We start from the raw sequence: 14,034 nt of genomic DNA, 5'->3' as shown, positions 1-14,034 counted from the left end.
AATTTCCTTGTCATCAGTCTTACGAAGGAAGTAAAGATACCTCCGTTTTCTAGATAAGGAAAGTGAGACTCAGAGACCCAAGTAATTGTGCCTGATTACAGGGCAGCTAAGAGGAGTCGTGATTCGAATCCAGGTCTTGTAACTGCAAAACACTCCTCTTTTTGGTGGCATGAATGCTAGAGTGTTTGGTCGCCTTTTCACTTCCTGTGAGAGCAAAAGCAAAAAGAAACATTCAAATTAACTTGCAACTTGCACTTTCATCAGCCTTGCCTGGAGAAGGCAATTTGAAACTACTGAATAAAACAAGACAAAAGACGTTAATTCCTGATACATAGGCATGCAGGTTTTCCTTCCCAACTTAACCTTTCAGCGGGATTTCAGAAGGTCCTTTGAGGGTTGGACACGTCTTTCTAGAGAAACAATGAGGGCCATGCCCTGGGCCCGCCCACAAATTAAGCCCCACTAAGCCCTTGACTTCAGCCCTAAAGGCCCTGAATATGCCAATATCCACCCCACCGCCTTTGGAAGGAGAGTTCAACTCTCCAGTGAGAGCAAAAGAAAGGAAGTCCACCCTTATTCATGCATTAAGTCACAAATATTTATTTAGCACCTAGTATGTTCCAGGCACTGTTCTGGGCACTGGGTATGCATTCGTGTACAAAGCAGATGAAGTTAACATTTAATAATAAAGCTGACCGGGTGCGGTGGCTCACGCCTGTAATACCAGCACTTTGGGAGGCCGAGGCGTGTGGATCACGAGGTCAGGAGTTCGAGACCAGCCTGGCCAACATGGTGAAACCCCGTCTCTACTAAAAATACAAAAATTAGCCAGGCGTCGTCCGCGCATCTGTAATCCCAGCTACTCAGGAAGCTGAGATGGGAGAATCGCTTGAACCCAGGAGGCGGAAGTTGCAGTGAGCCAAGACGTGCCACTGCACTCCAGCCTGGGCAACAGAGCAAGACTGTCTCAAAACAAATAATAATAATAAAGCTGACATTTAATAATGATATACATTGTGCTCATCTATAATATGTAATAGCTAACACTTTAACAAGACTTACTGTCAGGCCCTGTTCTGACTGAGTAAACTCTTGATTTTATTTTTCACAACAAAAGGCTGATGTGAGGATGACATTTTATCTTTTTTTTTTTTGGGGGGACACTGTCTCACTCTGTCACCCAGGCTGGAGTGCAGGGGCGCCGTCTCGGCTCACTGCAACATGTGCCTCCCGCGTTCAAGTGATTCTACAACTTCAACCTCCCAAGTAGCTGGGAGTACAGGTGTGCGCCACCACACCCAGCTAATGTTTGTATTCTTAGTAGAGACGGGGTTTCACCATGTTGGCCAGGCTGGTCTCGAACTCCTGGCCTCAGATGATCCATCTGCCTTGGCCTCCCAAATTGCTGGAATTACAGGTGTGAGCCACCACGCCCTGCTAAGGATGACATTTTACAGATGAGGAAATAAGCATAGAAAGACAGGCAGTTGACCGGGCACGGTGGCTCACGCCTGTAATCCCAGCACTTTGGGAGGCCAAGGAGGGCAGATCACAACGTCAGGAGTTCGAGACCAGCCTGACCAACATGGTGAAACCCCGTCTCTACTAAAAATACAAACATTAGCCAGGCATAGTGGCGCGCACCTGTAGTCCCAGCTACTCAGGAGGCTGAGGCAGGAGAATTGCTTGAACCCCGGAGGCAGAGGTTGCAGTGAGCCGAGATCGCGCCACTGCACTGCAGCCTGGATGATAGAGTAGAGCAAGACTCTGTCTCTAAAAAAAAAGAAAGACGGAAAGTTATGCTGAAGCTACACAGGAAGTGGCAAAGCTGGGTTCCCAAGCCAGGTAGCCTGCTCTTAACCCCTGCGCTTCAGCAAACATTGCCTGAGCACTGCATAGTATGTTCCAATCATGGGGCCGACTGGATGGATATGGATAAAAAAAAGCTCAGTTCCTAAACCACAGGACCAGCCAGTGGGTGAATGTGGGTGAGACACACAGACCACAAAGTGTACTTGAGTGTAGTAAGTGCCATCACATGGAATCAAAGACTGGAAACCCTGCCAGCAGAGTAAGTCATCCATCAGGTGGACAACCACAGAACACTAAAGAGAGATGGTAACCCTGAAGCCAAGGCTTACTGGATAAGTAGAAGTTTGCCAAGCAGCAAGGGAGGAAAGGCTATAATAGGCAGAACCGCGAAGACAAAGGCACAAGTGGGGAAGACACTGAGGCAGAGTTCAGGCTCCAGCTGTGACTCTGGGCTGGGCATGGTGGCAGATGAGACTCGGCCTCAAAAAAAAAAAAATATGTGACTCTGAAAGACTAAATCAAATGGCCATTTCTTTCTTTCTTTTTTTTTTTTTTTTGAGATGGAGTCTCACTCTGTCACCCAGGCTGGAGTGCAGTGACGTGATCTCAGCTCACTGCAACCTCTGCCTCCCGGGTTCAAGCAATTCTTGTGCTGCAGCCTCCCGAGTAGCTGAGATTACAGGCATGCATCACCATGTCCAGCTAATTTTCCTATTTTTAGTAGAGACGGGGTTTCACCATATTGCCCAGGCTGTTCTCGAACTCCTGATCTCAAGTGATCCACCTGCCTCGAATGTTTTAATTTTTTTAACTAGTTGCCAACACTAAAAATAGTGGGCCATTCCAGGCCCACTTCCATAGGGCAAGGGTCAGCTGGAGTGAGACACTGTCACCTTTAGCTGCCATATGTGCTTTAAGTTCACCATAAATGTCTTATTTACTTCCTATCTCTGACAGGAAAGTCAATGTTAAATTTTTCTTTTTTGAGACAGGGTCTTGCTATGTTGCCCAGGCTGGTCTTGAACTCCTAGGCTCAAGGGAATCCTCCCAAAGTGCTGTGATTAAAGGTGTGACCACCACACCCAGTTTCAATTAACATGTATATCAGATATTGGGCCAGATGCGTTCGCTCACACCTGTAATCCCAGCACTTTGGGAGGCTGAGGTGGGCAGATCATGAGGTCAGGAGTTCGAGACCAGCCTGACCGACCTGGTGAAACCCCATCTCTACTAGAGATACAGAAATTGGCCGGGCATGGTGGCGCGCATCTGTAGTCCCAGCTACTCGGGAGGTTGAGGCAGGAGAATTGCTTGAGCCAGGGAGGCAGAGGTTGCGGTGAGCAGAGATTGTGCCATTGCACTCCAGCCTGGGCGACAGAGCAAGACTCCATCTCAATAAAAAAATAAACACGTATATCAGATATTGATTTTTTTTTGAGACAGAGTCTCACTCTGTCACCCAGGCTGGAGAGCAGTGCTGCAATCTCAGCTGACTGCAACCTCTACTTCCCAGGTTCCAGCAATTCTCCTGCCTCAGCCTCCTGAGTACCTGGGATTACAGATGTGCACCACCACACCCAACTAATTTTTTTAGTAGAGATGAGGTTTCCCTATGTTGGCCAGGCTGGTCTCGAACTCCTGACCTCAAATGATCTGCCTGCCTTGCTTTCCCAAGTGCTGGGATTAGAGGCATGAGCCACTGCACCCAGCTCAGATATCCAGATATTTATTTAGTTAGTTAGTTTTAATTTATTTATTTAATTTTTTTGTTTGTTTTTTTGAGACAGAGTCTCCCTCTGTCACCCAGGCTGGAGTGCAGTGGCACAATCTCAGCTCACTGCAACCTCCGCCTCCGGAGTTTGCAGTTCTCTGCCTCAGCCTCCCGAGTATCTGGGATTACAAGCTCCCACCATTACGCCTGGCTAATTTTTTGTATTTTTAGTAGAAACAGGGTTTCACCATCTTGGCCAGGCTGGTCTTGAATTCCTGACCTCCTGATCCACGCGCCTCGGCCTCCCAAAGTGCTGGGATTACAGGTCTGTGCCATCGTGCCAGGAAGTTACATATATATATATATTTATTTATATTTATATATATTTGTTTGAGATGGAGTCTCGCACTGTTGCCTGGGCTGGAGTGCAATGGCGCGATCTCGGCTCACTGCAATATCTGCCTCCCAGGTTCAAGCGATTCTCCTGCCTCAGCCTCCAAGTAGCTGGGATTACAGGCACCCGCCACCACGCCTGGCTAATTTTTTGTATTTTTTTTTAGTAGAGACGGGGTTTCACTATGTTGGCCAGGCTGGTCTCAAACACCTGACCTCGTGATCCACCCCTCCTCGGCCTCCCAAAGTGCTGTTACAAGCATGAGCCACTGCGCCCAGCCCCAGAATTTATTTTTTAAAGACAAGGTCTCATTTTGTTGGCCAGTTTTGTCTTGAACCCCTGGCCTCAAGCAATCTTCCTGCCTCGGCCTCCCAAAGTGCTAGAGTTACAGTTACAGGCATGAGCCACTGCGCCTGGCCTAGATCAAATATTTAATGCAATTTTTCTTTTTCTTTTCTTTTTTTTTTGAGCAGGGAGAGGTTGGTTTTCACATTTCTAGTGGGAGCCATGGGAGGGTCCTCCTTTGGCAGTGGAGGTGCTCACAATTTCTTCAGCCACTCCAAACTGGGGCCTTGGGGGTCCTGGGGGTGGCTGGGCACATCGGGCATGTTCCCATCATTGCAGACAGGCACTGGGTAGTTGTAGGGCCTTGCCTCGTTGATCATGATGGAGTACTTGGTGTGGGGACTAAGTGGGGGTAGAATTACAGTGAGGCTCCGGATGACAGAGGACAAGACCAGCACTGGCTCCTTGGCCCAGGAAATCTTGAGGAAGGTGCTGAGTCTCGTGGCCTTCTTGGTCTCGGTGGTGATGACAGCGGCCTTTTTTTTTTTTTTTGAGATTGAGTCTTGCTCTGTCACCCAGGCTGGAGTGCAGTGGCGCGATCTCGGCTCACTGCAACCTCCGCCTCCCAGGTTCAAGCAATTCTCCTGCCTCAGGCTCCCGAGTAGCTGGGATTATAGGCACGTGCCCCTACGCCCAACTAATTTTTGTACGTTTAGTAGAGATGGGGTTTCACCATGTTGGCCAGGCTGATCTCGAACTCCTGACCTCATGATCTGCCTGCCTTGGCCTCCCAAGCGCTGGGATTACAGGCGTGAGCCACCATGCCTGGCCTCCTTTTTTTTTTCTTTTGAGTTAGGATCTCAATCTGTCACCCAGGCTGGAGTGCAGTGGTGCAATCAAAGCTCACTGCAGCCTCAAATTCCTGGGTTCAAGCAATCCTCCAAATTTGGCCTTACCAGCATCTGGGACTACAGGCCTGCACCACCATGCCCAGCCTCTATTTGGGTTTTTGTTTTTTTTTTTTTTTTGAGACGTAGTCTCGCTCTATCACCCAGGCTGGAGTGCAGTGGCACGATCTCGGCTCACTGCAAGCTACGCCTCCCGGGTTCAAGCGATTCTCCTGCCTCAGCCTCCAGAGTAGCTGGGACTACAGGCGCCCGCCACCACGCTTAGCTAATTTTTTTGTATTTTTATTTTTAGTAGAGATAGGGTTTCACCATGTTTGTCAGGATGGTCCCAATGTCCTGACCTCGTGATCCACCCGCCTCAGCCTCCCAAATTGCTGGGATTACAGGCGTGAGCCACTGTGCCCGGCCTCTATTTGGGTTTCTAAAAAAGAAAGAGGGCCAGGCTCAGTGGTTCATTCCTGTAATGCCAGCACTTTGGGAGGCCGAGGCAGGAGGATCATTTAATAACATAGTGAGACCCTGTCTCTACAAAAAAATTAAAAATGATCTGGGTTTGGTGGTGTGTGACTGTGGTCCCAGCTACTTGGGAGGCTGAGTCTGGGGCAGGGGGGTGGGGTACTATCCAAGAGGTCAAGGCTGCAGTGAGCTATGACTGTGCCACTGTACTCCAGCCTGAACAGCAGAGTGAGACCCTGTCACAAAAAAAAAAAAGAAAAAAGAAAAAGAGAAGGAGAACAGTTAGGGATATATATATATATGTGTTTACTTATGCATAAAATATCTCTGGAAGAAGAAAAACAAGTCATAGCCTATTTCTGAGGAAGGAATCTGGGGAACTTGGGGTCAAGGATTGAAGGAAATTCACTTTTCCTAGATCCTTTTATATTTTAATTTTTCACTATGTGCATATAATGACCAATTTAAAAGCAAACTGACTCCTACAATGCACCACAGCATGGTAGCTGAGGAGGGTATTATACAGGGTAAGACCTGCCACAGGGGAAGAGTGATTACTTTTGCAGTGAGTAGGGTGGGTCAGCCTTCACTGAGGAGTTGACTTTTTTTTTTTTTGAGATGGAGCCTCGCTCTGTCGCCCAGGCTGGACTGCAGTAGTGCAATCTCGGCTCACTGCAAGCTCCGCCTCCCAGGTTCACGCCATTCTCCTGCCTCAGCCTCCCAAGTAGCTGGGACTACAGGCGCCCACCACCATGCCCGGCTAATTTTTTTTTTGTATTTTAAGTAGAGACGGGGTTTCACTGTGTTAGCCAGGATGGTCTCGATCTCCTGACCTTGTGATCCACCCGCCTCAGCCTCCCAAAGTGCTGGGACTCAGGCGTAACCCACCGCACCCAGCTATTTTTTTTTTTTTTTGAGATAGGGTCTCGCCCTGTCGCCCAGGCTGGAGTACAGTGGTACAATCTCTGCTCACTGCAGCCTCAATCTCTTGGGTTCAAAAGATCATCCCGTCTCAGCCTCCCCAGCAGCATACACCACCACGCCCCAGCATTTTTGTTTTTTGTAGAGACTGGGTCTCATCACATTGCCTGTGGCCGGCAAGCCACCCAGGCGCCAAGGCAAGAGACCGAGGACATGAGCTGTTCCAGTATAAAAAAATATAAGACAAGAATAGTTATACCAGATATAGATCTTAGATATGATTATATATGAATATCATTAATCATTAGTTTGTAGCAATTACTCATTATTCCAATATTATAATAATCCTCGCTGTATAATCATAACCTAGGAGAAACCAGGCCATACAGAGATAGGAGCTGAGGGGACACAGTGAGAAGTGACCAGAAGACAAGAGTGCGAGCCTTCTGTTATGCCCAGACAGGGCCACCAGAAGGGCTCCTTGGTCTAGCGGTGACCCCAGCGTCTGGGAAGACGCCCATTGCCAAGTGGACCGTGGTCTAGCAGTAGCGAAAAGTGTCAAGGAACAACACCCGCTGCTTAGCAGACCGGGAAAAAGAGTCTCCTTTTCTCTGGGGGAGTTTAGAGAAGACTCTGCGCCTCCACCTCCTGTGGAGGGCCTGACATCAGTCAGGCTCGCCCGCAGTTATCCGGAGGCCTAACCATCTACCTGTGATGCTGTGCTTCAGTGGTCATGCTCCTAGTCTGCCTTCATGTTCCATCCTGTACACCTGGCTCTGCCTTCTAGATAGCAGTAGTAAATTAGTGAAAGTACTAAAAGTCTCTGATATGCAGAAATAATGGTGTAAGCTGTCTTTCTCTTTGTCTTCTCTCTCTCTCTGCCTCGGCTGCCAGGCAGGGAAGGAAGGGCCCCCTTTCCAGTGGACACAAGACCTTACCTATCATTGGAGATGACTCACACTCTTTACCCTGCCCCTTTTGCTTTGTATCCAATAAATAACAGCACAGCTAGACATTCGGGGCCACTACCGGTCTCCACGCATTCGTCGTAGTGGTCCGCCGGGCCCAGCTGTCTTTTCTTCTATCTCTTAGTCTTGTGTCTTTTATTTCTACACTCTCTGGTCACCGCACACAGGGAGAAGCCCACCGACCCTGTGGGGCTGGTCCCTACAATTGCCCAGGCTGGTCTTAAACTCCTGGGCTCAAGCAATCCTCCTGCCTCAACCTCCCAAAGTGCTGGTATTACAGGCATGAGCAACTGTGCCCAGCGAGGAGTTGACATTTCAACTGAACGAATGAAGCATTTCTCAGTACAAAAACTGTACGAACAGAAGAGAGCAAGCTTGACCCAGAGCCTGTCCTGGCCAGGCACTTTAGCTGGGTTCTTGTATGTATTTATATTTTAGAGACAGGACCTCGTTCTGTTGCCCAGGCTTCTTGAGTGCAATGGTGCAATCATAGCTCACTCTAACCTCGAACTCCTGGCCTCAAGCAGTTCTCCCACCTCAGCCTCCCAAAGCGCTGGGACCACAGACGTGTGCCACTGCCCTAGCTGGGTCCCTGTAGAAGGGCAAGGGAGGAAGAGCAGGCGTGTAGAAGGGCAAGGGAGGAAGAGCAGGCAAGGCCCTCCCCTCAGGAGCACTCTGGCCTGGGGAACAGCGTGGAGGGATGGTGAGAGATGGCTGGGGCCAGACCCAGGCCCCACCTCTAGCCTGCTGCACATCTTTGTGCAAATTAGGAAAAGGCATCCCTTCCTCCAGGCAGAAACCCACCCCCCGCCCAACTCTGCCCCCCAAGGCCGAAGACTTGGGGAGGAGAGCAGGAGCTGAATTTTACTCAGCCCCATTTCAGCTCTGAACAGAGGATTTCATGCAGGACGAAACGGTCACATTCCTAAGCAGAGGCACTGAGGTATGAGACAACCTGCTATTTCACATCACTCAAAACAACAGGCTTGGGATTGCTCACACCTCTAATCACAGCAATTTGGGAGGCAAAAGCATGTGGATTTCTTGAGTCCAAGAGTTCAAGACCCCAGGCTGGTCTTGAACATGGCGAAACCAGTCTCTACAAAAAATACAAAAATTCGCCAGGCTTGGTGGTACACGCCTGTGGTCCCAGCTACTCAGGAGGCTGAGGTAGGAGGATCTCTTAAGCCCTGGAGGCAGAGGTTGCAATGAGTGGAGATTGCACCACTGCACTCCAGCCTGGGAGACAGAGCAAGAACTGTCTCAAAAAAAGCAACTTCTACTGGGAATATTAAATGACATTTCCATCTGCAAATACCCTTAACTGGGCCTAGAACATAGTAGGCATGAATAAATGACCTTTTCTCTCTCACTCGTCCTTCAAGATGTACTGCTTCAAGCAAGAAATAATTGCTTTATTATCTCCTTGGGCAGTGCCCAGGACAGGAAGTGCCCCTGTCTGCATGGGGCCCACTCAGATTTTGTGTCTCTAGGAGAGGTTGTCATGGTACACAGACTGGGAAAGTAAATGCTGGGCAGATAATTGGCCTGTGCTAAGAAAAGACCTGCTTGGACCAACTAGAAAAGAGCAACACAGGACAATAGTGGAGGGAAGGTCAGCAGATAAACAAGTGAACAAAGGTCTCTGGTTTTCCTAGGCAGAGTGTTTGTGTCCCTGGGTACTTGAGATTAGGGAGTGGTGATGACTCTTAACGAGCATGCTGCCTTCAAGCATCTGTTTAACAAAGCACATCTTGCACCGCCCTTAATCCATTTAACCCTGAGTGGACACAGCACATGTTTCAGAGAGCACAGGGTTGGGGGTAAGGTCACAGATCAACAGGATCCCAAGGCAGAAGAATCTTTCTTAGTACAGAACAAAATGAAAAGTCTCCCATGTCTACTTCTTTCTACACAGACACAGCAACCATCCGATTTCTCAATCTTTTCCCCACCTTTCCCCCTTTTCTATTCCACAAAACCGCCACTGTCATCATGGCCCGTTCTCAACGAGCTGTTGGGTACACCTCCCAGACGGGGTGGTGGCCGGGCAGAGGGGCTCCTCACTTCCCAGTAGGGGCGGCCGGGCAGAGGTGCCCCTCACCTCCCGGACGGGGCGGCTGGCCGGGCGGGGGACTGACCCCCCCCACCTCCCTCCCGGACGGGGCGGCTGGCCGGGCGGGGGGCTGACCCCCACCTCCCTCCCGGACGGGGTGGCTGCCGGGCGGAGACGCTCCTCACTTCCCAGACGGGGTGGCAGCCGGGCGGAGGGGCTCCTCACTTCTCAGACGGGGCGGTTGCCTGGCGGAGGGTCTCCTCACTTCTCAGAAGGGGCGGCCGGGCAGAGACGCTCCTCACCTCCCAGACGGGGCGGCGGGGCAGAGGCGCTCCCCACATCTCAGACGATGGGCGGCCAGGCAGAGACGCTCCTCACTTCCTAGATGGGATGGCGGCGGGGAAGAGGCGCTCCTCACTTCCTAGGTGGGATGGCGGCCTGCCAAATCCCCCTCTGTGAGAAACACCCAAGAATGATCAATAAAAAAAAAAAAAAGCAAAAACAAAGAAGGAAGAAGCCATTTGTACCTTAGTATGAACTTAAAAACGAGGTTAAACACTAAAAAAAAAAAAAAAAAAAAATGAAAAGGGCAACACAGTGCTGGGTCTGAGGGAAAACTGCAGAAAGTCCTCCTGGAGGCAGGAAAAGGGCCTGGGGCAAGGTATGCAATAGTCACAGTGATAGATGGGAAATTGACCAATCATTGTGCCAGGTCTATTTCCAAACAGGTTAAAGGTCCCAGGGAAACAAATTGAGCGTCCTGGTACCTGGTTTGCAAAAATGCAGTGTGGCCAGGCACAGTGGCTGACACCTGTCATCCCAGAGCTTTGGGAGGCTGAAATGGTGGGGGATATCACTTGAGCCCAGGAGGTCAAGGCTGTAGTGAGCTATGATTGAACCACTGTACTCCAACCTGGGCCACAGAACAAAACTGTTTCTCAAAGACAAAAACAAAAGTGTGCCAGGCGCTGTGGCTCATGCCTGTAATCCCAGCACTTTAGGAGGCCAAGGCAGGCGGATCACCTGAGGTCAGGAGTTCGAGACCAGCCTGACTAACATGGTGAACTCCTGTCTCTACTAAAAATACAAAAATTAGCCGGGCGTAGTGGCGTGTGCCTGTAGTCCCAGCTACTCAGGAGGCTGAGGTGGGAGAATCGCTTGAACCCGGGAGGCAGAGGTTGCAGTGAACCGAGATGGCGCCACTGCACTCCAGCCTAGGCAACAGAGACACTGTCTCAAACAAACAAACCAAAAGTGTAACTTAGGCCGGGCATGGTGGCTCACGCTGTATTCCCAGCACTTTGGCATGCCGAGGCAAGCAGATCACCTGAGGTCAGGAGTTTGAGACCAGCCTGGCCAACATAGCAAAATCCTGTCTCTACTAAAAATACAAAATGTTAGCTGGGCATGGTGGCAGGCGCCTGTGATCCCAGCTACTCGGGGGGCTGAGTCAGGAGAATCGCTTGAACCCGGGAGGCGGAAGTTGCAGTGAGCCTAGATCGCGCCATTGCACTCCAGCTTGGGCAAAAAGAGTGAAATTCTGTCTCAAAAAAAAAAGTGTAAAGTAAAAGGATCTGTTAACAATTCCATATCATTTGCCTTTTTCAAGGACTCTGGGCTACAGATTCTCTAGCTCTAAATAGGAAAAGGGAGAAGAGTGAGAGAGGGTATCAGTACAGGGGCTTCTGAACAAATACGCAAAAGAACGAAGAAACTTCTTTATGCTTAAGGCCAAGCTCAGTGGCTCACACCTGTAATCCCAGCACTCTGGGAGGCCAAGGTTGGAAGATCACTTGAGCCCAGGAGTTCGAGATCAGCCTGGGCAACATAGCCAGACCCAGTTTCTACAAAAACTTTAAAAAATTAGGCCGGGCGTGGTGGCTCACGCCTGTAATCCCATCACTTTGGAAGGCCGAGGCGGGAGGATCACCTGAGGTCGGGAGTTGGAGACCAGCCTAACCAACATGGAGAAACCCCGTCTCTATTAAAAAAAATACAAAATTTACCAGTCATGGGGGCCCATGCCTGTAATCCCAGCTACTTGGGTGACTGAGGCAGGGGAATCACTTGAACCCAGGAGGCAGAGGTTGCGGTGAGCCAAGATCGCGCCATTGCACTCCAGCCTGGACAATAAGACTGAAACTCCGTCTCAAAAAAAAAAAAAAAATTAGCCAGGCATGGTGGTACATGCCGGTAGTCCCAGCTACTGGGGAGGCTGAGGAGGGAGGATCATTTAAGCCCAGGAGTTCAAGGCTGCAGTGAGTCGTGATTGCGCCACTTCAGCCTGGGCGACAGAGAGAGACTCTGTTTCAAAGAAAAAAAAAAGAAGAAGAAACTTGTTTATGTTTGACCCTGCAAGGTGATTTAAACCCTAATATGCCAAATATGTATGTATACTTTTTTTCAGATTAATTTGCAAATATTTCCAGGAAGATACATGTAAAACTACTGAGAAGAGTTCTTTCTCTGTGGGACAGCTAAAAAAAAATTACACACATTTGGCCAGGCGCAGTGGCTCACACCTGTAATCCCAGCACTTTTGGAGGCTGAGGCAGGCGGATCACAAGGTCAGGAGTTCGAGACTAGCCTGGCCAACATGGTGAAACCCCATCTCTACTAAAAATACAAAAATTAGCCAGGCATGGTGGTGGATGCCTGTAATCCCAGCTACTCAGGAGGCTGAGGCAGGAGAACCACTTGAACATGGGAGGTGGAGGTTGCAGTGAGCTGAGATCACGCCACTGCACTCTAGCCTGGGTGACAGAGACTCCATCTCAAAAAAAAAATTACACTTATTTATTTTTTATTTATATTTAGACGGAGTCTCGCTCTGTCGCCACGCTGGAGTGCAATGACATGATCTCTGCTCACTGTAACCTCCACCTCCTGGGTTCAAGCGATTCTCCTGCCTCAGCCTCCCAACTAGCTGGGATTACAGGTGCCCGTCACCACACTTGGCTAATTTTTTGTAATTTTAGTAGAGACAAGGTTTCGCCACGTTGCCCAGGCTGGTTTCGAACTCCCGAGCTCAGGCAATCCGCCCTCCTCGCCCTCCCAAAGTGCTGGGATTACAGGCGTGAGCCACCGCACCTGGCCTACACATATTTTTTAAATTTTGGATTTTTTGTTTTTTTAAGATGGAGTTTCACTCTTGTTGCTCAGGCTAGAGTGCAATGGTGCAATCTCAGCTCACTGCAACCTCTGCCTCCCGGGTTCAAGCATTCTCCTGTCTCAGCCTCCCGAGTAGCTGGGGTTACAGGCACATGCCACCACGCCCAGCTAATTTTTGTATTTTTAGTAGAGATGGAGTTTCATCAAGTTGATCAGGCTGGTCTCGAACTCCTGACCTCAGGTGATCCGCCCACCTCGGCCTCCCAAAGTGCTGGGATTACAGGCATAAGCCACCGTGCCCAGCCTAGATTTGTTTTAAATGGATGCCTCAAGGGAACTATTTTGAGCAGCATGATATACTTATGTAATTTTAATTTTTTTTTTTTTTTTTTGAGACACAGTCTTGCTCTGTCGCCCAGGCTGGAGTGCAGTAGTATAATCTCGGTTCACTGCAACCTCCACTTCCCAGGTTCAAGTGATTCTTCTACCTCAGCTTCCCGAGTAGCTGGGACTACAGGCCTGTGCCACCATGCCTGGCTAATTTTGTATTTTTAGTAGACATGGGGTTTCACGATGTTGGCCAGGCTGGTTTCGAACTCCTGACCTTGTGATCCGCCCGCCTCGGCCTCCCAAAGTGCTGGGATTATAAGCATAAGCCACCGCGCCCGGCCATAATTTTAAATTTTCTAGGAGCTATTTTTTTTTTTTTTTTTTTTTTTGAGAAAACTGTTTTAAGGCACTGTGACATGAAAAGGGCTGCCAGGGATGTGTTCCTCCCCCCACTTCACAGCCAGCACGTAATGGCCCCTCTCCTTGACGACGTATGTGACATTGTATTGCTGGTTGCCTACATGCTTCATGGAGACCTTCTCGCAGGCGGTCGTGGGCCCATGTACCCTGATCAGCAGCATGTTGGAGCTGGCTTTGCTGCAGTCCACCAGGAAGGAACTCTTCTGGCCCACAAAGGCCTTAGAGAGCCCTGCCCCCTTAGAGGTCAACTAGCTGGCGTCATTTTTTTTTTTTTTTTGAGACAGGTTCTCACTCCGTCACCCAGGCTGGAGTACAGTGGTGGGATCATGGCTCACTGCAGCCTTGAACTCCTGGGCTCAAAAAATCCTCCCACCTCAGCCTCCCAAGTAGCTGGGATTACAGATGCACACCACCATGCCTGGCTAATTTTTTGTATTTTTAGTAGAGACAGGGTTTTGCTATGCTGCCCAGGCTGGTCTGGAGCTCCTGGACTCAAGTAGTCCACCTGCCTCAGCCTCCCAGAGTGCTGGGATTACAGGCGTGAGCCACCATGCCCAGCCTTGTTTTTCATACTAAGTCTTCAAAGTCTGGTGGGTCGCCAAGATGATCCTGGCCAGGCTAGACCAAGAATGCACAGACACACACACACACACACACACATA

The 14,034-nt window shown here is 49.6% G+C and overlaps 1 pseudogene, besides 2 other annotated features; it reads right to left on the bottom strand.

Annotated features, from left to right (window-relative positions):
* Nucleotides 197-256: an enhancer, noted in NCBI's record as "active region_10751". NCBI's record gives its function as "activates an Ori minimal core promoter by ATAC-STARR-seq in GM12878 lymphoblastoid cells {active_cell/tissue: GM12878}" and the evidence as "EXISTENCE:reporter gene assay evidence [ECO:0000049][PMID:35858748]".
* NDUFA3P6 (NADH:ubiquinone oxidoreductase subunit A3 pseudogene 6) lies at nucleotides 4,459-4,708 on the bottom strand (annotated as a pseudogene).
* Nucleotides 8,847-9,507: an enhancer, noted in NCBI's record as "NANOG-H3K27ac hESC enhancer chr16:31181095-31181755 (GRCh37/hg19 assembly coordinates)". NCBI's record gives its function as "activates a minimal SCP1, AML or CMV promoter by ChIP-STARR-seq in primed H9 embryonic stem cells {active_cell/tissue: H9 hESC(primed)}" and the evidence as "EXISTENCE:reporter gene assay evidence [ECO:0000049][PMID:30033119]".

The sequence above is a fragment of the Homo sapiens genome, chromosome 16, assembly GCF_000001405.40.
Source record: "Homo sapiens chromosome 16, GRCh38.p14 Primary Assembly".
Taxonomy (NCBI): Eukaryota; Metazoa; Chordata; class Mammalia; order Primates; family Hominidae; genus Homo; species Homo sapiens.
The sequence above is the reverse complement of the archived record's forward strand: the minus strand, read 5'-3'. Positions and strand labels throughout refer to the sequence as shown.